The 22,255-nt window shown below is 43.4% G+C and overlaps 1 long non-coding RNA gene and 1 other non-coding gene across 5 annotated transcripts in view; one reads left to right on the top strand and one right to left on the bottom strand.

Annotated features, from left to right (window-relative positions):
• LINC01191 (long intergenic non-protein coding RNA 1191) overlaps positions 1-22,255 on the bottom strand; it is a 58,761-nt gene that overhangs the window by 13,698 nt on the left and 22,808 nt on the right. For 3 of the 4 annotated variants that reach the window (NR_148507.1, NR_034128.1, NR_148508.1), the window contains one exon: positions 7,075-7,366. The exons of the other annotated variant lie outside the window; for it this stretch is intronic. This is a non-coding gene — a long non-coding RNA (long intergenic non-protein coding RNA 1191). Of the gene's footprint in view, positions 1-7,074; positions 7,367-22,255 lie in introns of those variants that run through there. 4 annotated transcript variants of the gene reach the window in all.
• LOC124906194 (small nucleolar RNA U3) lies at positions 8,730-8,945 on the top strand. The gene has a single exon (XR_007088772.1). It is a non-coding gene; the product is annotated as a small nucleolar RNA U3 (small nucleolar RNA).

The raw sequence follows: 22,255 nt of genomic DNA, 5'->3' as shown, positions 1-22,255 counted from the left end.
ACAAGGCTACAGTAACCAAAACAGCATGGTACTGGTACCAAAACAGAGATATAGATCAATGGAACAGAACAGAGCCCTCAGAAATAATGTTGCATATCTACAACTATCTGATCTTTGACAAACCTGAGAAAAACAAGCAATGGGGAATGGATTCCCTATTTAATAAATGGTGCTGGGAAAACTGGCTAGCCATATGTAGAAAGCTGAAACTGAATCCCCTCTTTACACCTTACACAAAAATTAATTCAAGATGGATTAAAGACTTAAATGTTAGACTAAAACGTTAAAAACCGTAGAAGAAAACCTAGGCATTACCATTCAGGACATAGGCATGGGCAAGGACTTCATGTCTAAAACACCAAAAGCAATGGCAACAAAAGCCAAAACTGACAAACAGGATCTAATTAAACTAAAGAGCTTCTGCACAGCAAAAGAAACTACCATCAGAGTGAACAGGCAACCTACAAAATGGGAGAAAATTTCCACAACCTACTCATCTGAGAAAGGGCTAATATCGAGAATCTACAATGAACTCAAACAAATTTACAAGAGAAAAACAAACAACCCCATCAAAAAGTGGGCAAAGGATATGAACAGACACTTCTCAAATGAAGGCATTTATGCAGCCAAAAAACACATGAGAAAATGCTCACCATCACTTGCCATCAGAGAAAAGCAAATCAAAACCACAATGAGATACCATCTCACACCAGTTAGAATGGCAATCTTTAAAAAGTCAGGAAACAACAGGTGCTGGAGAGGATGTGGAGAAATAGGAACACTTTTACACTGTTGGTGGGACTGTAAACTAGTTCAACCATTGTGGAAGTCAGTGTGGCGATTCCTCAGGGATCTAGAACTAGAAATACCATTTGACCCAGCCATCCCATTACTGGGTATATACCCAAAGGACTATAAATCATGCCGCTATAAAGACACATGCACACGTATGTTTATAGCGGCACTATTCACAATAGCAAAGACTTGGAACCAAGCCAAATGTCCAACAATGATAGACTGGATAAAGAAAATGTGGCACATATATACCATGGAATACTATGCAGCCATAAAAAAGGATGAGTTCATGTCCTTTGTAGGGACATGGATGAAATTGGAAAACATCATTCTCAGTAAACTATCGCAAGGACAAAAAACCAAACATCGAATGTTCTCACTCATAGGTAGGAATTGAACAATGAGAACACATGGACACAGGAAGGGGAACATCACACTCTGGGGACTGTTTTGGGGTGAGGGGTCGGGGGAGGGATAGCATTAGGAGATATACCTAATGCTAAATGACGAGGTAATGGGTGCAGCACACCAGACTGGCACATGTATACATATGTAACTAACCTGCACAATGTGCACATGTACCCTAAAACTTAAAGTGTAATAATAATAAAATAAAATAAAATAAATAAAAAATAAAAAAGAGAAAAAAAATCTTTTCTCCTTTCTTTCATTTTATTGGCTAATCCACCATTGATTTTTAAGATAAGGAGCCTTAAATGAAAATGTTTAATTATAACATTTCAAAAATCAGGATAGGAATGGGGCACATGGATGGTAGGGAAAGAGACCCTCCTGGGGTCCAGAAGTCACATTAATCTCAGTTATCTTCCCAGTCAACAGCCCGACTACCCTGGGAGACCAGATATTGTGGCAGCAGGGCACTGGCAAATGGTCCCTTGTATTCCCTACTGGTTCTCTTGCTTCTGCCTTGCTTCTGACAGATGCTTCTACTGCTATCCCCTCCAGCCATGCCAGTGAACTCAACAATCCACAGTGAAATTACCGGATGCTATTCAAGCCACAGGTGAAGCTACTTTCAGGTTGCCACTGAGGGGAGAAAAATCAGTGAGGCTGATGGACTGTCCCAGGGTCCAGGGCTGCCAAGGTCAGCTGTGCAGCCTGCCACTGCTCCACTACAAGCGCAGGAGTCCCCCCTCATGTGCGGTTTCAGTTACCCACGGTCAAGCAAAAACATTAAGTGAAAAATCCTGGAAATAAGCAATGCATAGGTTTTAAATTGAATGCCCTTCTGAGTAGCACGATGAAATCTCAGGCTGTCTTCCTCCATCCTGCCAGGGATGGGAATCCTTTTTTTGCCCAGCATTTCCACACTGTCTGTGCCATCCACCCCTTAGTCATTTAATAGCTGTCTCAATTATCGAATTGACTGTCCAAGTATCACAGTGGTTGTGTTCAAGTGATCCTTATTTTACTTAATAATGGCCTTAAGCACAAGAGTATTGATGCTGGCTTATTGTTATAATTGTTCTATTTTGTTATTATTGTTAATCTCTTACTGTGCCTAATTTATAAATTAATCTTTATCATAGATATATATGTATAGGAAAAAAGAGGGTATATATAGGGTTCGGTGCAATTTCAGGCATTTACTGACAGTCTTGGGAAAGATCCCCTGTGAATAAAAGAGAACTACTGTAAGCCGAAAGTTCCCAAAGCAACTTCCCCTTTCAGGGTAGCCATTGCTAGTCCTTTTATTGGATTATAAAGGGGCGATTGAGGAAGAGGCAGCGAGAGAGAATTTAAGGGAGAAGGTGCTCACACCTGAGTAAAAGAGCAGATTTCAGGTCACTAAGAAATAGAAACTCAATTCTACACACCTTGAGCATCTACAGAAGCCATGCTGGCAGCCCTTAAAGCAGTCCTGTACAGGCTGACTGATGGCTTTGACTGCCTGCCTCCAAATCTTTCCACCCTCCTTGCTACCTGGGGACCCAGAGCAGGGCACTTGCCTTCCCTAAGCTTTCTTTTCCTCACCTGTAAAATGGGGCTAATAAGAGCAGGTTCCTCATGACATTGCTTTGTTGAGTGAATGAATTAAAATATATAAAGTCTTTGGGCTCTGTGTCCGGCAGATAGAAAGTGCTCACAACTCAGCCAGGCATGGTGGCTCACGCCTGTAATCCCAGCACTTTGGGAGGCCGAGGTGGGTGGATCACAAGGTCAGGAGTTTGAGACCAGCCCAGCCAACATAGTGAAACCCCTTATCTGTTAAAAAATACAAAAAAAATAAGCCAGGCATGGTGGCGGGCGCCTGTAATCCCAGCTACTTGTGAGGCTGAGGCAGGAGAATTGCTTGAACCCGGGAGGCAGAGGTTGCAGTGAGCCGAGACTGTGCCATTGCACTCCAGCCCGGGCAATAGTGTGAGACTGTCTAAAAAAAAGAAAGTGCTCACAACTCTACTACCAAGGCACTCTGTTTCTGTTTTTTGTTTGTTTGTTTGTTTTTAGAGACAGATTCTCGCTCTGTCACCCAGGCTGGAGTGCAGTGGCATAATCATAGCTCACTGCAGCTTAGATCTCCTGGATTCAAACAATCCTTCCAGCTCCACCTCCTGAGTAGCTGGAACTACAAGTGCATAGCACTACGCCCAGCTAATTTTGTGGGTTGCTTTTTTTTGAGACAAGGTGTCACTCTGTTGCCTTGGCTGGAGTGCGGGGGCATCATCTCAGCTCACCAGACCCTCAACCTCCCCAGGCTCAGGTGACCTTCCCACCTCAGCCTCCCGAGTAGCTGAGATTACAGGCACATGGCACACCACCACACCCGGCTAATTTTTGTATTTTTAGTAGAGACAGGGTTTCGCCATGTTGCCTAGGCTGGTCTCAAACTCCTGAGCGCAAGTGATCTGCCCACCTCAGCTTCCCAAAGTGCTGGGGTTACATGCGTGAGCCACCACGCCTGGCCTAATCTTTTTATTTTTAGTAGAGATGAGATCTCACTATGTCATCCAGGCTGGTCTCAAACTTCTGGCCTCAAGCAATCATCTCATCTCAGCCTTCTGTTTCTAATCTTCAGTAGGCTTGCTCTCACCATGGAAGAAAAAAGACAACCATTCTCCACCTTCCTTCCCATGCCCAGCAAGAGCCTTGGTCTTGTTTAAGAGATCCACTTCCCTTGCTTACAAGATAAACACTAGTAGCACAGCTGTAGTTTTCTCTGTATTTGGAGGAAGCAGCCCTACTTCAACCGCTAGTTATCATCTCACCCCCACTGAACAGCCTGCCTTCCATGCAGCAGGCCATTCATGTGGGCAAATGATTTTTTTTTTTTTAATTTGGGGCTAGAGGCAACTGGCTTTCTGTAAGCAATGCAGTCATGGCTCTGCTATTTCCCAGTAGAGAGGAGGTCTGGACTTCTTGTGAGGAGAAGTTATGTCTCTTCTCCATGCCAAGTTTCCCAGAGAATGAATCACCTCTGCTTGCAGGTAAATATGGATGGCCAGCCCAATCCAGCACAAATGTGCAGCGTCTAAATGCTGATGCCCATCTGGAGAGGGGAAGCCACAAATCATGCCTTGCCCAAGGCATTTAGCAAAATGCAGGCCAGCTCTCAGAGCAAAAATAAAAACCAACGAGAAGAAACAGAAGCAAAAAAGATTATGACTTTAAGCTATGTGGTCTTTATTTGAAGAGGAGTCAAGGAAGCAGCTTTGAACCCAATATGAAGAGGACAGTGTAGGAGGCTGATGGAGCCACAAACTCAACCAACTTTTGAAGCCAACTCACAAAGCTGCATCACATTGGAAACAAATTACCCAGAAGGCCTTTAAACTCACAGTTCAAAAATTACATTCCTTTGGTCAACTTTCCAGTGTAGCCTTTGGAGAGCCTTTCTCCTCTGAGCCCTGTTGCTCAGGATAAGACGAAAACACAAATAAGAGATTCCAATGAACTCTTTGGTCCCTATAGGGCTGGTCTACTTGGCCCACACGAGCTCTAACATCTCTGAGCAAAGCTGTCTGTCACTCAAATTCACAGGTAGAAAACTCAGATTCCAAAAGCCCCACTGATGAGACACAACAGCAGATATATTATCGGAGCAACAAGAAGGGAAGGGATGTTTTGCTATTTTCAGTGTAGAATCATTATCTCGTGGTCTAAACCTCCTGGTTAGAACATGGGGAGTCGTTTATTCCGAAATGTGCCTGTTTCATTTGTCCACGAACTGGATTGTAATGGGCTCTTTCCCAAAGGGAGCAACAGCAAGAATGGAAATGTAATTTATTTTTTATTGCTGAGTTGGGCCTTTTCAAATGATTTTTGCAGACATATCTTTAATAGATTTTCAGACATGTTTTATTTGTTGAAAAATTTCCATACCCTTGCATAATTTCAATTATTCAATGGAAACCACAGTTTGGGGAATTGTTCCAGCCATTTATTCAGCCCTTGGAATAAGCCATATTTATTACTTAAATTGATTACTTTGTCCATTTGGAGATTAGCTCAGATGAATGGGGATTAAGAGAGAATGTGTTTGAGATCCCCTCCCCCTGCAGTCACACAGGGGCCTTTTGCTTTTTGGAGTACCTCATGGGCAGCTTCGAATCTGGCCTTTCTTGTTGGTGTGGTCTTGGTGAAGGGGTTCAGGAGAGCGGGGAGTCTTTGAGAGCATGGTTTCACTGAAGATGATGCATTCAGCTGCAAGCCACAGAAAGCCTGACTGCAGAGCATTCCCAGGCAGGAGTTTGTTCATTCACAAAAGAACAACTCTGCAGCTAGGCAGTCACTGCCCTTTGTTCGGAGGTTCAATGATACCTGGATGACATGGTTCAACGATATCTGGATGATGTCTCTACATGTGTTTTAGCCAAAAATGGCTGCTGCAAGTCAGAGTGTCATGGCCATGAAGAAGAGGAAAGGCGGAAGGGCCATTTCAGCACAGTCTGTCTCTTTTTATTAGGAAATCAAAAACTTTTCGAGAAGCCTCCTGCTGATGTCTGCTTACCTCCACTACCACCCTTGGTCCTAGGTGCCATCATATGAGCCAGTGCCTAGGATGGCTCCCACCTTCTTCCCTTCCCTGATTCTGTCTATTCTCCATACAGCAACCACAGTGAGCACATTGAAGGAAAAGTGGGACCGTGCCAGTCCTCTGCTCCAAACCCTCCAACAGCTTCCCACCATACTCAAGAGTAAAGTCCAGGCTCCTCGGAGGGGCTTAGGAGGACTGCGTGATCTGGCCGCCCCGTCTCTGCACTGACTTCACCCCTGCTGCATATTCCTGTCTCTTCCTATTGCACATTCCAGCCCGGGCTCCCACTGCTTTATCGCAGGCCAGGCACGCTCCCTAAGTAGGCTTTTGCACTTGCTATTCTCTCTGTCTGGCATGATGTCCACCTGTAACCTCCCAGTTTACCCCCTCACCTCCTTCAGCCTTTGCTCACATTTCAGCTTTGCTGTGAGACCATCCCTGACCCTCCTATTCATCATTCCAACTTCCCTTCCCCCATCCCTTCTATGCTTTATTTTTCATAGCATTATCTAACGCATATATAGTCATGTGTCACTTAACAGGGACATGTTCTGAGAAATATGTGGTTAGCCAATTTCATCATTATGTGGACATCTTAGATTTTACTTACACTAACCTAGATGGTATAGCCTACCATGCACACACCTAGGCTATATGGTATGGCCTATTGCTCCTGGGCTACAGACCTATTCAGCAGGCTACTGTACTGAATACTATAGGCAATTTTAACACAATGGTAAGTGTTTCTGTATCTAAACATATTCTAACATAGAAAAAGTACAGTAAAAATATGGGCTTCTAATCTTATGGGATCACCATTGTATATGCCATCTGTCATTGTCCAAAACATCTTCATGTGGAGCATGACTGTACCTATTTCTCCTTTCTGTCTGTCTCCTCTGTGACCAAAATAGTGCCTGGCACATACTAAATGTCCTCATACTCTCTGTTGAGTAATGCATAGAAGCATGAGAGAATGGATGGGGCGGAAGTGACTTGCATGGTCCGTACAAGCAAGCGTTTGGTGCTCTGGCCTCTGAGCAAGAGGTCCTGAGGGGAAAGGAGATTGGGAATGACTTTTGAGTTGTCAAGAAATAGTTTGTGCCATGTAGATCCACTCACTCTTCTCCATGAAGGCAAATTCCCACCTGAAACTACTTGCAAATGTTCATAGCAAAGCTGCTCAAGTTAATTTTGCTTTTTCTCATTAAGTGAGAATCCAAAAGGTTAGTTAGAGTATTCGGTGTAGAGAAAGGATTAACAATAAATAAATAGGTCAGAAACATTGATAGACCCCTCATGTGTTATTTTATTCTTTAAATGCAGAAGATAGCCCTGTGAGATGGGTTTAGCAATCTACATGTCACAGGGGAGGAGCATGAGGTTCAGAGACGCTGAGTAATGTGCCCACAGACTCTCAGCTGGCATAGAAAGCTGGGGGTTTAGCCTCCAGGTTCTGTGTTCTCAACACTGTCCGGGTGTCTCCTAGCAGATACATTGACGTCCTGATGTTTGTATCTGCAGTTGAAAACTTGTCTTCTAGAAACCCATGAACTCTGGCATCCTCACTGCTGCCTGGAAAAGTTAGAAAACAATAAGATTTAAATCCTGGGCAAATTATAAGTGTGATTCTAGGAAGTCTAGGAAGGCCCACTTGCCCTCAGCTCAAAATATGCCTCACCTATGTCCAAGCTGCTGCCTGACACTCCTCCAGCCAAGGTTAAAGCTTTTATGAATTTAAATGCTGATTGGATCTAGGCTCACTCACAAATTAATCCTGAAGCTATTTTGATTTTTGTTTGTTTGTTTCTTTGCTATTTCACTGCTTGTTCACCTATCACAGGCTTTTGCATGTCATCCTAGAGTGTAAGCCACTAAGGAGGGAACAATATCCTGCACACCTGGCATAGCATTCTTCCCCATCTGTCAGTCTTAAATAAACACTTGTTGACTGATTACTGTACAAAGTACAAGACACACATCTCTGGGATCTATGTGTTTGCAGAAGTGTGCTGTGGAGAAAGCAGGGGCCTTGGGAAGCACAATCGCCTCGGTTTCCATCCTGATTCGGCTACTTATCACTTATTGGATCTTCCACCAGTGCCTTCATCTCCTGAGCCCCAGTTTTCTTTCTTTTTTATTTTTTATTTTTTTAATTTTTTATCTCCATAGGTTTTCGGGGAACAAGTATCATTTGGTTACATGAGTAAGTTCTTTGGTGGTGATTTGTGAGATTTTGGTGCACCCATTACCCAAGCAATATACACTGAACCCAATTAGTAGTCTTTTATCTCTCACCCCCTTCCCACCCTTTTTCCCCCTGAGTTCCCAAAGTCCATTGTGTCATCCTTATGCTCATAGCTTAGCTCCCACTTAGGAGTGAGAACATACGATATTTGGTTTTTCATTCCTGGGTTACTTCACTTAGAATAATAGTCTCTAATCCCATCCAGGTTGCTGCAAATGCCACTAATTCGTTCCTTTTTATGGCTGAGTAGTATTCCACTGGATATGTATATATATCAGAGTTTCTTTTTCCACTCATTGATTGATGGGCATTTGTGTTGGTTCTACATTTTCGCAATTGCAAATCGTGCTGCTATAAACATGTGTGAGCCAAGTATTTTTTTTGTATAATGACTTCTTTTCCTCTGGGTACATACCAAGTAGTGGGGTTGCTGGATCAGATGGCAGTTCTACTTTTAGTTCTTTAAGGAATCTCCACACTCTTTACCATAGTGGTTGTACTAGTTTACATTCCCACCAGCAGCATAGAAGTCTTCCCTTTTTACCGCATCCATGCCAACAGCTATTAATTTTTCAGTTTTTAATTACAGCCATTCTTGCAGGAGTGAGGTGGTATCACATTGTGGTTTTCACATCTGTAAAATGGGCACGACAATACCTGCCCACTGGTTTATTAAGAGGAATGAATTGCAAGACTGTAGTTTCAGGGATTGTTTCTATAGTTTGCTACTAGAGAAGTTTCTCTGAACGTGTAGAGCCCCGGAAACCCCCGGGTGGTGGTGCAGCATCCTCTCTTGAGGTGAAGCCGGCTTTTGGTGTTGCTTCACTGCAACTACCTTTTGCCATGGATGATTGTCCTTCTCCTCCTCTGGCAGAGGGAGAGGGAGAGGACATAAGTCTGAGTGGTATCTCAAAAAAAAAAAAAGTGGGGAGATAAGTTGGGAATGTTTGTAAAAAGCCTGACACAGTGCCTCACCTTTCTGGTCTGAGTCAGAACCAGAATGAGTGCCCCTTGATTATGGCCACTGCTCTAGCTGACTGGGAGAGCCTACTGGAAAGAGCTCCTGAGAGCAGCAACTTCCTTTCCTGAAGGGCCAGAGGCTCCACTGAGGCATCATCTCAGAGCAGCACTGGAGCTCTAGGAGCAAGAGAAAAACAGGCAGGAGGACAGGGTCACAGCAAGCCTGCCCTGAAGGAAGACAGAAGATAGTCACCCTTCAGTGAACAGAAGCCACAAGGCTTAGCTCCATCCTGGGCTCAGAACCCCTTCAGAATAGATTCACTGGGCTAGAACAAGAAGCCAGAAACACTGCACCCCTGGACACAACAGTCTCTCAACCAGCCACCGATGAGAGAGAAGCTGAGCGAGGCAGGATGAAAGAGCACTGAGGTTTCTGCCTGAGCCCATTTCTAAGCACCAAGCCTGCTCTCTCAACTATATCCAGGAGTGGCTACCCACCTCCCCACCACACCCATCTATTCCTTGGGACCGGTAGCAGAAGCTTCTCGAATCTCTTCTCTACCCCCGCCAGATGTGACCGTCCCACCCTTCTCTGCAGTGCAGTAGATTACCTCTTTCCCTGACCCACCCCTCAGCTTCCACAGCAAAGGCAGTTGTCCCCGACTCCACTGTATAGACCTGCACTGTGGTTGACTACTGCAGTTGTCTCAGATGTGTGGCTACTGAGTGTGTGAATCATGGCTAGTCCAAGTTCAGATGTTTTGTAAGGGCAAAATGCACACCCGATTCTGATAACTTAGTGTATTCGTCCATTTTGCATTGCTATAAAGGAATACTTGAGGCTGGGTTATTTACAAAGAAAGATTTACTTGGCTCTCACTTCTGAAGCCTATACAAGAAGCATTTTGCCAGCATCTGCTTCTGGTGAGGCCTCAGGAAGCTTCCAATCATCGTGGAAAGTGAAGGGGGAGCAGGTATGTTACATGGACAGACAAGGAGCAACAGAGAAGAGGAGTTTCCAGGCTCTTTCCACAGTCAGATCTTTTGGGAACTAATAAAGCAAGAACTCACTCATTAGCATGAGAAGAGCACAGAGCCATGCATGAGGGATCTGCCCCCATGACCCAAACATCTCCTGCCAGGCCCCACCTCCAACAGTGGGGGTCACATTTCAGCATGAGATTTGGAGGGGATAAATATCCTCTATCACTTAGCATTTTTAAAAAAGCAAAATGTCTCACGAACACCTTTTTAGATTGATTACAAATTGAAAGGATAAGGCCGGGCACGGTGGCTCACACCTGTAATCCCAGCACTTTGGGAGGCCAAGGCGGGTGGATCACGAGGTCAGCAGTTCGAGACCAGCCTGACCAGCATGGTGAAATCTCATCTCTACTAAAGATACAAAAAAAAAAAAAAAAACTAGCTGGGCGTGGTGGCGGGCGCCTGTAATCCCAGCTACCTGGGAGGCTGACGCAGGAGAATCACTTGAAACTGGAAGGCGGTTGCAGTGAGCCGAGATTGTGCCACTGCACTCTAGCCTGGGCAATAAAAGCAAAACTCCGTCTCAAAAAAAAAAAAATTGAAAGGATAATTTTGACTACAGTGGATTAAAATAAAATATACTGTTACAATTAATTTCACATGGGGTTTGTTGTTGTTTTACCTTTTTAAACACGGCAACTAGAAAATTCTAAATTACATTGGCAGCTAAAATCTATGGCTCACATAATGCTGCTCTACAATGCTGGTGTGAACTATCACGACACTGTTATACTATTATTCTTTGTTTTATCTCTGCCTCACTCACTAGACAGGGAACTTAAGGAGAATAGGAAGAGTACCTTCCACTGCTACGAGAGATGCTTGGTACATTACAAATATTCCGTAAATACTTGTTGAGGGAATGAAGCTATGACCAAAAAAAAAACTAAAAATATTCAATGATTCTGAAATATTTAAAAAATCACTCAAAATCATGTGCTATATTGACTTGCCCACAACACTAGTCTGTTTGGTGTAAAGATAACATTCAACTCATGTGCTTGGTATATGCTAGAGTTTGGTTTGTTTGACCCCTCCAAATCTCACTTTAAAATGTGATTCCCAGTGTTGGAGGTGGGACCTGGTGGGAGATGTTTGGGTTATGAGAGAAGATCCCTCATGAATGGCTTGGTGCCATCCTCAAGGTAATGAGTGAGTTCTTACCCTATTCTTCCTGAAAAAAGGAGCCTGGCATCTCCTTCCCCACCTCTCTCTCTCCCTCTCTCTCTCTCTCTAACACACAAACACAAACACACACACACACACACACACACATACAGAGCATGTGATCTCTGCAAACTGGCTCCCTTTGCCTTCCACCATGAGTGAAAGCAGCCTGAGGCCTCACCAGATGTAGGTGCTGGTGCCATGTTTCTTGTATAGTCTACAGATCTGTGAGCCAAATAAAAGTCTTTTCTTTATTAAACTACCCAGCCTCAAGTATTTCTTCACAGCAACACTAACAGACGAAGACAGTATGCATGCTCATATATTTCCACGGGTGTAAAAGAATTGAATCTTCCAACACTACACTGGACCTCATGCACATAAAATCAAGTGTGATTGTTGCCCTGGCTCAGAATTTGGCTGACAGTTGGCTGCCCCATTTACTTCCTTGTTGGCCCTATGGGCAGTCCTCGAACCAGTAGCATGAGCACCACCAGGGAGCTTGTTAGAAATGCAGAGCTTCCAACTACACTCCAGACCTATTGAATCAGATCAGAAGCTTCTCTATAACCAGATCTCTGGTTAATTTTAGGTTAAGTGTAAGCCCTTAACATTTGAGAAGCCTGAACTATGTGTTTTTGTTTCTCAGCTCTAAGGAAGACAGTCACCTGGAAAGTTGGCTATTATTCCTCTTTATTCTCCACACATTTTTTGCTAAAAACCATAGTGAGCATTCACTTTGCATAAGGTGCTATGAACCAGACACATGGCTCTTGGTTGTGTGACTTGTGTCACCCATTACTGATGAGCTCTTGCTGTTTGTGGAGGCAGCTGGACACCCTGGATGCTGGATGCCAGAGAGCACTTCAGAAGGGCTCTGAAGAGGCCAGAAATGGTACAAAATGGCCCCGTGTCTGCAGAGAATCTATACACAGCACTTTTATGAGTCTTGCATTCTCAGGGTGGCCAGAGGAAAGAAAGCAGCCAACACTGCCTTTCTCCCAAGAAGGAAATTTTGCCAGAGTCTGTTCGTCTCCATGGAGACCCAAGAATCTGCAAAGCCTCCATCAGCATCCTGGTCCCCAGGCTCAAGTTCAAGCAAGCTTAATTCCCCTTTGTCTGGGTCTCTGGAGTAGCATGAATGTTGTTACTTTAGGGGAATGCAGATTTTTTTAGTCACATCTGTGTGTTCCTGGAGAGTAAAAGCAACTCAAACTGGACCTGCAGCAGTCTTCAGACACTCTGTGGCTGGGGAATTGCAGTGAAGCTTCAAGGAACTCTCACCTGAAAAATCAGAAGATGCAGTGACCAGAATTCTCTCCCTCCATTTCTATAGTTACAACTGCATTCACCTGGTCAGTTAAATGTATTGAACACCTGTGGTGTTCACCATAAGGTATACAGAGATTATCCTGTCCAAGCAAGAAAAACTGATATGTCAACAAGCAACAGCTTAAAATGCTGGCACAGCCAGGTGCGGTCGCTCACCTTGTAATCCCAGCACTTTGGGAGGCCGAGCCAAGCAGATCACTTGAGCTCAGGAGTTCAAGACCAGCCTGGGCAACGTGGGGAAACCCCATCTCTACCAAAAAATACAAAAATGAGCAGGGCATTGTGGTGCATGCCTGTAATCCCAGTAGCTCAGGAGGCTGAGATGGGAGATTCACTTGAGCCTGGGAGGTCAAGGTTACAGTGAACCAAGATGGCACCACTGCAACCCAGCCCAGTGATAGTGCAAGACCCTGTCTCACCGAACACAAACAAAAACAAAACACAACAAAGGAAACAACACTGGCACGGCTCTCATTGCTTCACATCTGGCAAATAATCCGACAAACTCTCGACCCACTGGGCTCTGGGTTCTCTACAGGTCCTGGTCCATCTCATCACCTCCCTGCTCTCTGCACTCCAGCCCTACTGGCTGCTTCCTCCCTAACAGCCTTTATCTGGACACCTCCTTTCACCTTTTTCTTGCCTAGTTCAGCCTTTATCTCTCAGCTCTGGGATCACTTCCTCGGGGAAGCTTCCAGATGTCCAACGGCCTGTGTGAGCGAGGCCCCTGCCCTGTGCTCCTGGAACCCCTGCCTTTCTCCTTCCTTATGTTCTCTTCAGTCATTTCTGCAGGGATCCTGACTGACAGCCTTTATTCCATAGGCTATGGGATCTGAAAATGTTTGAGCAAGGGAGAGATAAGATTAAAGTTTGGGGGAGATGAATTTGGCAGCTGTGAGGAGAGTATGTTAAACAAAAGAAGAGACTGCAGGCTCAGAAAGGAAACTGGAATGATTATCTTTTAAATGCCAGGCCTTGGGCTGTTTTTTAAAATATTATCTTATTTGTTTTTCAAGATGTATCTGCGAGTAAGGCATTGTTGTCCCCATTTTTTAGATGAAGAAATTGAGACTGAGAGGGGTTCAGTGACTTGCTCAAGGCCACACAGCTGGAATGTCCGGGCCTGCCTGGTTTCCTAACTCTGCCTCCCAGAGAAGCTGTTGGAAAAATTATTTATGGGAAATAATAGAAAGGAGAGGACTGACCTGGTAGATGTCACAGCGGAGAATCAACAGAATGCATGGAAGATAGTATGTGGGGCTGGAGCATAGGAAGAGGAACTCATCCAAAATGACTGAAGTTCTCACCTGGCCACTTCCTTCCAGAAGTTTCCCCAACATCTCTCCCACATGTTCCCTCGGCACTCTGTGTTTCTCCCATCAGAGCACTTTTCGAAGTGTTTTGTAATTCCTGGTCTGTTTGGCTGTCTTCGCCACCAGCGCCTGTCTGTGGTGTTTACTGTTGTAGCCCCACAGGGAAGCAGCGAGTCTCTAAGTTCTCAGTGAAGTCTTGCTAAATGAATATGAGGCAATGACGGAACAAAGGACTGGGTGATGGAGAGTAAGGACACCTGTGGTGGATTTATAGCAAGAAGTGCTTGGAGCCAAACACAGCATCAGCCAGTCAGAGCTAGTGGGGCAGCTCTCTGGGGTGCACCTGGAGCGTTCGCCTTTGAGGACGTCTGTGACTTATTTCCACTAAAGAACAGGATTCTTCCAGGTGACAGTGAGGTGACTGGACAGGGCAGGGTTGCAGCTTGCTGCCTCAGAGTAGACCCAGCTCAGTGCATCCAAGACTAGGTACAAAATCTGTAATTCCACAATTGCAAATCTCAGAGAATCCTCTCGGTGATTTATTGGTCACTACATTCGGCACTTGAAGAACAATTTATGCCATAACTTGTAAAACTTTAACAACATGAAGCACTGGTTTCCCTCGAGAGTTTGCAAGGACGTTTTGCAGAGAGGGAGAATCCATGTCCTGGCTCTTAAAATGGCATCTACTTCAAACTTTCTCTGTTCCACATCTGGGGAAGGCTCAAAGAGCCCTGCAGACTTGTGATAACCACTTTTTCCTCTCCGGAAGCTGTAAAAAGTCCTCCTCACACTCTAGGGGTGTCTTAATATCTCCCCCACATCTCTCTGCCAGCGCTAATCAGTGTGTCATCACCTCCTGAACAAACTGTGCACTCACCTCCTTCTAGTCGACTTCCAATATTTCTTCCATCCTCACCCCTGCCTCCATATTATTAGTAGATTAGTTTTTCTAAAAACTGGTCAGAACTAACAGTAAAAAGCACAGCTTCTTAAGCTGGCATGCATCACCCTCCATCCTCCAGGCTGTGCTGTCACTCCCTCTCTGGACTGACCTTCCACTGTGCTTCTGCACATTTACCAGCCACAGCCAAGCTAACTCCTAACACCTCCTATTGCCTGTCCTCTGCCTTCAAGCCATGTTGGCACTCCCAGACTAGGATATCTTCTCTCCAAGATCTCCTGTCTAAATCCCTACTGGCCTTCTGGAATTTGTTCAAATGCTATCTCCTCTCTAAAGCTGATCCCAATTCCCTCAGTGAGAATTAACTTCTCTCCTTATATGTTCCCACAGTGCCTTCTTTTTATCTGTCATAGAATTTTCCAATAGATGTCTGGCATTGGAGTTAACTCCATGAAAGTTTGCAAAGGCAGCCCCACTGCATGACAGTCTCATTTTGTATGTCACGGCTAAGTTCTGTTGATAAATAGCAACCCACCCATAATCAACACATCAGTGGGTTATTCCTATGTTCTTTGCAACCCAAGGGTTTCTGTATTTAATGACTCTAATTACAACTCTTAGCATATCAAAGGAATTTTTTAGAAAAACAGCAATAATTAGCTTTGGAAATTTCCACAATTTGTTACTTTGTCAGGCTCAGTAAGCACTGGTTTTGTTGTGGGTGGTTTTTCTTTTTTTTTTTTTCTGCTTCCAAATGTTCCAAGGAAAGCTTTGAAATCCTGAACCTTACAGTCTAATGAGAAGAAACAGCAAGGGTGACCATTTTGAAACCCTTCTTTCTTTATTTCCCTCTCCTCTCTCAAGTGAAAGAGACACTCTATATAACATTTAGGGAGAACCAACTCAAAGACTTAATAGTTGTTTCCTGTCTTCTGGATAATTCTTTCAAAAATATGCCAGAATCGTCATATTTAGAAACCTTTTCTTAACCTAGTTTCTCACTCCAGTAATGGCACCTGCAAAACTTCTTAGAAGGGATTGTCTATACTCCCTACCCTTACTTCCTTACTGCTTGTTCTCTATTTATTAATTTATTTATATTTACATTGTATTAGAAATATAGATCCATTGTGCAAAATCAGAAAATACAAATAAGCTAAGAGAAAATCTAAAGTACTCATGTGGCAAAACTGTTAAACCCATGGCTAATGGCACTTCCCAACTTCCCTCACCACTGGGGTGAACACTTGCATTCCACTGGTGAGTGAGACACATTATTTCTACCCACTCATAACATATAAGTGATAGTGATGTGTCCTACTTTCTGGCATGGTCAATAAAATCCCCCGTGGACACTCCTCTACACTCTTTCTTCTTCCTGCAAAACTGAATAGCCAAGACGACAGCAACCTTGGAAACCATGTTTTTACAATGGCGTAGTCAATATGAGTCTTGATCTATAAATGACCTCTGGAAATGGACTTGAGTTTACCCTAAGCCAATGAAGAAACATCTACTCAAGAGAATATATAAAAATTCAGTACAAAATGTGAAGGTCTGTGGTATTTGAATGAAGACTCCTTTTATCTCCCTCCCCACCTGTTCCGTGATGTGGAAACTGCACTCCAGACTACTATAGTCAAGAACACAGGGCAAGACTGTAACATTTCTTATTCTGCCCTTAGCATATTGTTGCCAAGGCCAAGTCTTGGGTGACTGCAGTCAAGATGCAGGGTGCTCCCTTCTTCCTCCCAATTCCCAGCCATGAAATGAAGGCTTCATTTTGGACGTGGCACACTGAGAATACTGGGGCCCTGATAGCCCTTGCCTTCATTCATGAGGCAGTGGCTCCACACCAGGACTGGCAAGCTGAGAGAACCCTAGGCTGCAGCCCATCCCCTAAGCTTCTAGAGTATGGGTGTCACTCAAAAAGAGGCTTGGCACTGTCCCTACCCCCAGCTCCAGAGTCCTGACTCAGAGATTTTTGCCTAGAAGGGAAAACTGGCCATAAAACAAATAGCTTCTAAACTCTTCCCAAAGGAACTGACTTTATTTGCAACAGAGCTAGGGACGTTCAAGCCTAAGGGCACTCTCAAGAACAATGGAGATTGTAGTGGGAAGAGATTCATGGATCTAATGAAGATACAGCCTAGACTGTAGGCTGGCTAGTTTATAGGAGAGAAGTGGGGAAGAAGACAACTAGGGGGAGCCCTGATGTTAGAACAAATATTAAACACTGACCTCAGAAACTATTTCTACAGAGAGTGACATCAGCAAGGTGGGAGACTAGGAAGTCCCAACCCACATCCCACCACAAATGCAATGGATGATTTAACAACTACCACAAACAGAAAAAAATCCAGGAAATCTCCAAAGTACAGTGAAGAAGATGCAGCAACCCAGTAGAGAAGAAAAACTGAGAGTGATCACGTAGAAAAACATAGGAAGCGTTTTACCTGCATCACCCCATCATGCAACCTGGCACAGATCTGCAGTGCCACCACAGAAACCCACAATTTTTATCACCAGGGATCCCCACAGTCTTTGTCAAAGCTGCACTAGTGACACAGCTGCCCAGAGTCCACACTGCTCCCCCTCCCCTGAGCAAAAGCTGCTACTGCACCCTCCCTCGGGCCAGAGTTGCCACATCCCACATCCCAGCCCTGACACCACCTCAGACACACCTACACCCTGGAACCCCAATGCTATCATCACATGCTACACTCTCACCCTCAACAAATCCTACTGCCAAGGAGGATCCCCTGAGCCATCACTTCCCTTTGCAGGGGAAAAGGAGAACAGGAATTCACTTCACAGCCAAAGAAGTGTGACAATGGTTTCATGCTCATGAGATTCACTGGTCTTACCGTGTTTCTCATCATTTTGAAGCAGCTGGCTTGCTAAAATTGTGGAATGTCATTTTGAAGTCACAGATGCAGCGCAGCTAGGTGACAATATTTTGTAGGGCTGGAACAAATTTCTCCAGACGGCTAAATATGCTCTGAATCAGAATCCAATATATGGTACTATTTCTCTCATCTCAGCATTCATGGGTCCAGGAATCAAGGAGGGGAAATAGAAAGGCCACCACTCACCATTATCCCTGGTGACCCACTAGCAAATTTTTGCTTCCTATTCCCACAGCTTTATGCTCTGCCAGCCTAGAAGTTAGCTCCAGAAGGAAGAATGCTTCCATCAGGTGACACAACAATGACTCCATTCAACTGAAGGTTAAGATGCCACCCAGCCACATTGGGATTTTCATGTCTCTGAGTCAATAGGCTAAGAAGGGAATTACAGTGTTGGCTGGCATGATCGATCCAGACTACCACTGGGAAACTGGACTACTATTCCAAAGTGGAGGAAGGAAGAGTATGTCTGGAATAGAGGAGATCCCTTAGGGTATCTCTTTGTATAACTATGCCCTGTGATTAAGGTCAGTGGGAAAATACAACAACCCAACCCATGAAGGACTACAAATGGAATGAAGGTTTAGGTCACTCCACCAGGTGAGAAAACCATCACCAGCTAAGGTGCTTGTTGAAGACAATGGGAATACAGAATGGATAGTACAAAAAGGTAATTACCATTACCAGCTATGATCATGTGACCAGTTACAGAAGTAAGGACTGTAACTGTCATGAGTATTTTTCCCTATTGTGTTAAAAAAAAATGTGTTTGTGTGAACTATCACAAGGACAGAAAACCAAACATGGCACATTCTCACTCATAGGTGGGAATTGAACAATGAGAACACTTGGACACAGGATGGGGAACATCACACACTGGGGTCTGTCATGGGGTGGGGGGAGGGGGGAGGGATAGCATTAGGAGATATACCTAATGTAAATGACGAGTTAATGGGTGCAGCACACCAACATGGCACATGTATGCACATGTAACAAACCTGCACATTGTGCACAGGTACCCTAGAACTTAAAGTATAAAAAAAAGTTTGTGTGTATATATACATATATTAAGCAAATACCTTTGTTTCATTTCCTCTCCTATTCCTTTATCATGTAATATAAGATGTATTAACTTTATATCAGTATTCAAGTATTGCTAATTTTATGTCATAGTATTTAAATTATGGACTATCAGAAGAAGAGTAAATGTCACTCAAGGGCTTTACCTCCTCTTCTCAGGAACGGTTTGGGGCATTTTCAGGCATATCATGTTAGGTTGAACTATGACCTTGTTATTGTCTTTATTTGAAGATTAAGTATGGCTTAAGGAGATGCATGTGGATGCCAAGTTGACAAAGAGTGAACTTGTAATGGTTAATGTTAGGTGTTAATTTGACTGGGTTAAGGGATATCTAGATGGCTGACAAAGCATTATTTCGAGTCTCTCTGTGAGGTTGTTTCCAGAATAGGTTGGTATTTGAACTAGTGGACTCAATAAGGAAGATCTGCCCTCACCCACATGTGAGCAGGCACCATCCAATCAGCTGAGGGCCCTAATAGAACAAAAAGGCAAAGGAAAGAATTTGCTCACTCTCTCTCTCTCTCTCTCTCTCTCTCTCTCTGTCTCTTCTAGAGCTGGGACACCCATCTTCTCCTGCCCTTGGATATAAAAACTCCAGGCTCGCTGGCCTTCAGGCTCTGTGACTTTCATCAGTGCCCCCCAACCCAGTTCCTCAGGCCTTCTGCTTTGAACTAAGAGCTACACCATCAGCTCCCCTGGTTCTCAGATCTTCAAAGCTGGATGGAGTCATGCTACTGACTTTCCTGTTCTCCAGTTTGCATATAACACATTGTAGGACTTCTTACCCTCCATAATCACATGAGTCACCTCTTCTGACAAATTACCTTTCATATGTCTATATCAGATAGATGATAGATAGATAGATATGCATACATACATATTTATTCTATTGGTTCTGTTTCTCTGGAGAATCCTAATACCGATTACAGATGGTTAAAATTAAAAAGTCATATAACAAGTGTTGATGAGGATGTGAAAAAATCAGAATCCTCATGTGCAGTGAAAATTTTAAATAATACAGCCACTTTGGAAAACAATCTGGAAATTCCTTACACAATTAAATATAGAGTTACAATATGACCCTCCTAAGTACATATATTCTACTCTTAGGTATATGCCCAAGATAAATAAAAACATATGTCTACACAAAATCCTGCACATAAGTCTTCATAGCAGCATTGTAATAGCCAATAGGGTGGGGGAATAAACAATGTCCAACAACTGATGAATGGATAAACAAAATATGGTGTATTCATACAATGGAATATTACTCAGTCATAAAAAGTAATGAAGTGCTGATACATGCTGCAAAATGAATGAAATTGAAAATATTATGATGAGTGAAAGAAGTCAGTCACAAAAGACCACTGCTATGGTTTTAATATCCCCTCTGAAACTCGTGTTGAAACTTGATTCCCAGTGTGGCAGTGTTGAGAGGTGGGGACTCTAAGAGGTGATTGGATGATGAGGGTTCTGCCTTTATCAATGGACCTATCCATTCGTGGATTGACAGATTATATGGGTTATCATGGTTAGCCTTTTAAAAGAAGAAAGAGATATGTGAGCTAGCACATGAGAGCACCTTAGCACACTCAGTGAGGGTTCTGCCTTTATCAATGGACCTATCCATTCGTGGATTGACAGATTATATGGGTTACCATGGTTAGCCTTTTAAAAGAAGAAAGAGATATGTGAGCTAGCACATGAGAGCACCTTAGCACACTCAGTGAGGGTTCTGCCTTTATCAATGGACCTATCCATTCGTGGATTGACAGATTATATGGGTTATCATGGTTAGCCTTTTAAAAGAAGAAAGAGATATGTGAGCTAGCACATGAGAGCACCTTAGCACACCCAGCCCCCTTGGCAAGCCAGAGCCCCCACTAGCAAGAAGACTCTCACCAGATGTGGCCCCTTGAACTTGGACTTCTCAGCCTCCATATTTACAAGAAATAAATGACTTTTCTTTACAAATTACCCATTTTCAGGTATTCTGATAAGCAACAGAAATTGAACTAAGATAACCAGATATCATATGATTTCATATATGTAAAATATCTAAAATAGGGAAATCTACAGAGACAGAGGTCCAGTGGGTGCTTAGGGTTGGGAGGATGGCAATGCGGGGGAATGATAACTAAAGGGTACAGGATTTCTTTTTGAGGTGGCCAAAATGTTCCAAAATTGACTATGGTGATGATTGTACATTTCTGTTAATTTACTGGAAAACACTGAATTGTAACTTTAAGTAGGGTGATTGTATGGCATATGAATTATACCTCAATAGAGTTGTTGGAAAACAGTTTGAGCCCATTAAATATTGGGGTCTATTTGTTATAAGAGTTCAGCCTACCCTAAATAATATAACCCATAATATCACAATCCAATGATAAGCTTACTTTGATGTACATATTCTATGGTTTGTTTTGCATGAATATAACTTTTTTAATTTAACAAACCAGCGATTATTCTGTAAACCATACTTTTTAACTTAAATGATTGTAACTACCTTTCTTTTTCTTTTTTTTTTTTTTTGAGATGGAGTCTGGCTCTGTCGCCCAGGCTGGAGTGCAGTGTAGTGCAATCTCGGGTCACTGCAAGCTCCGCCTCCCGGGTTCACGCCATTCTCCTGCCTCAGCCTCCCGAGTAGCTGGGAGTACAGGTGCCTGCAACCAGACCCGGCTAATTTTTTGTATTTTTAGTAGAGATAGGGTTTCACCATGTTAGCCAGGATGGTCTCAATCTCCTGACCTTGTGATCCACCTGCCTCGGCCTCCCAAAGTGCTGGGATTACAGGCGTGAGCCACCGTGCCCGGCCGATTGTAACTACCTTTCTATGTCAATAAATATGCTTTTTTCATTTCATTTAATACCCAGCATTAAAAATTTTCTGTTTTATAGTAGCTTAACATTTTGATTTTGACAAACTCCTAAGCTTTATCTTTCATTTTTATTTTATCAAAGTGATGTCAATTTTTTAACTTTTCTTTTTCCATCTCTTTTTGTTCTTGTTATGTTTTACATTGTGGAAGATTTCCTCAACTTTCTGTGCCAATTCTTCTATCATATTTTAAAATTCCAATCCTCTATCTTTTTCTCTGAATGGTCCTTTTCAATAGTACCCTCTTCTTTTTCTATGTATGTAAAATCTCCTCTTATGTCTCTGAAAATATTTATTATGGTGTTTTGAAGTGTTTGGTCTCTACATTGTCTGTTTTCTCTGGGTTCTTTTTTCCTGTTTGTCAGGTTTGGTCTCTGTATTTCACAATAGAGGATGCTTCAAATGTATGTTCTTCTTTGGGTTTCTGCATATGTTTAAAAGTAAGGCATGAGAATGCAGCCAGAAGCCATGGGTGTGGGAGTGCAGTATACTCACTGGTGTACCTCACTGTACAGTCATGGGGTGGGTATCTGGCCCCTTTCTTTAGGTTCGTCAGATGTCAGCATCTGGAGTTCTTTTGTCTTCACTAGACAGTTTCTCCAGACAGAAGTCCCCCAGACTCCTG

Source organism: Homo sapiens, chromosome 2 (assembly GCF_000001405.40).
Source record: "Homo sapiens chromosome 2, GRCh38.p14 Primary Assembly".
Classification (NCBI taxonomy): Eukaryota; Metazoa; Chordata; class Mammalia; order Primates; family Hominidae; genus Homo; species Homo sapiens.
This window is presented reverse-complemented; position numbering and strand designations above follow the sequence as displayed.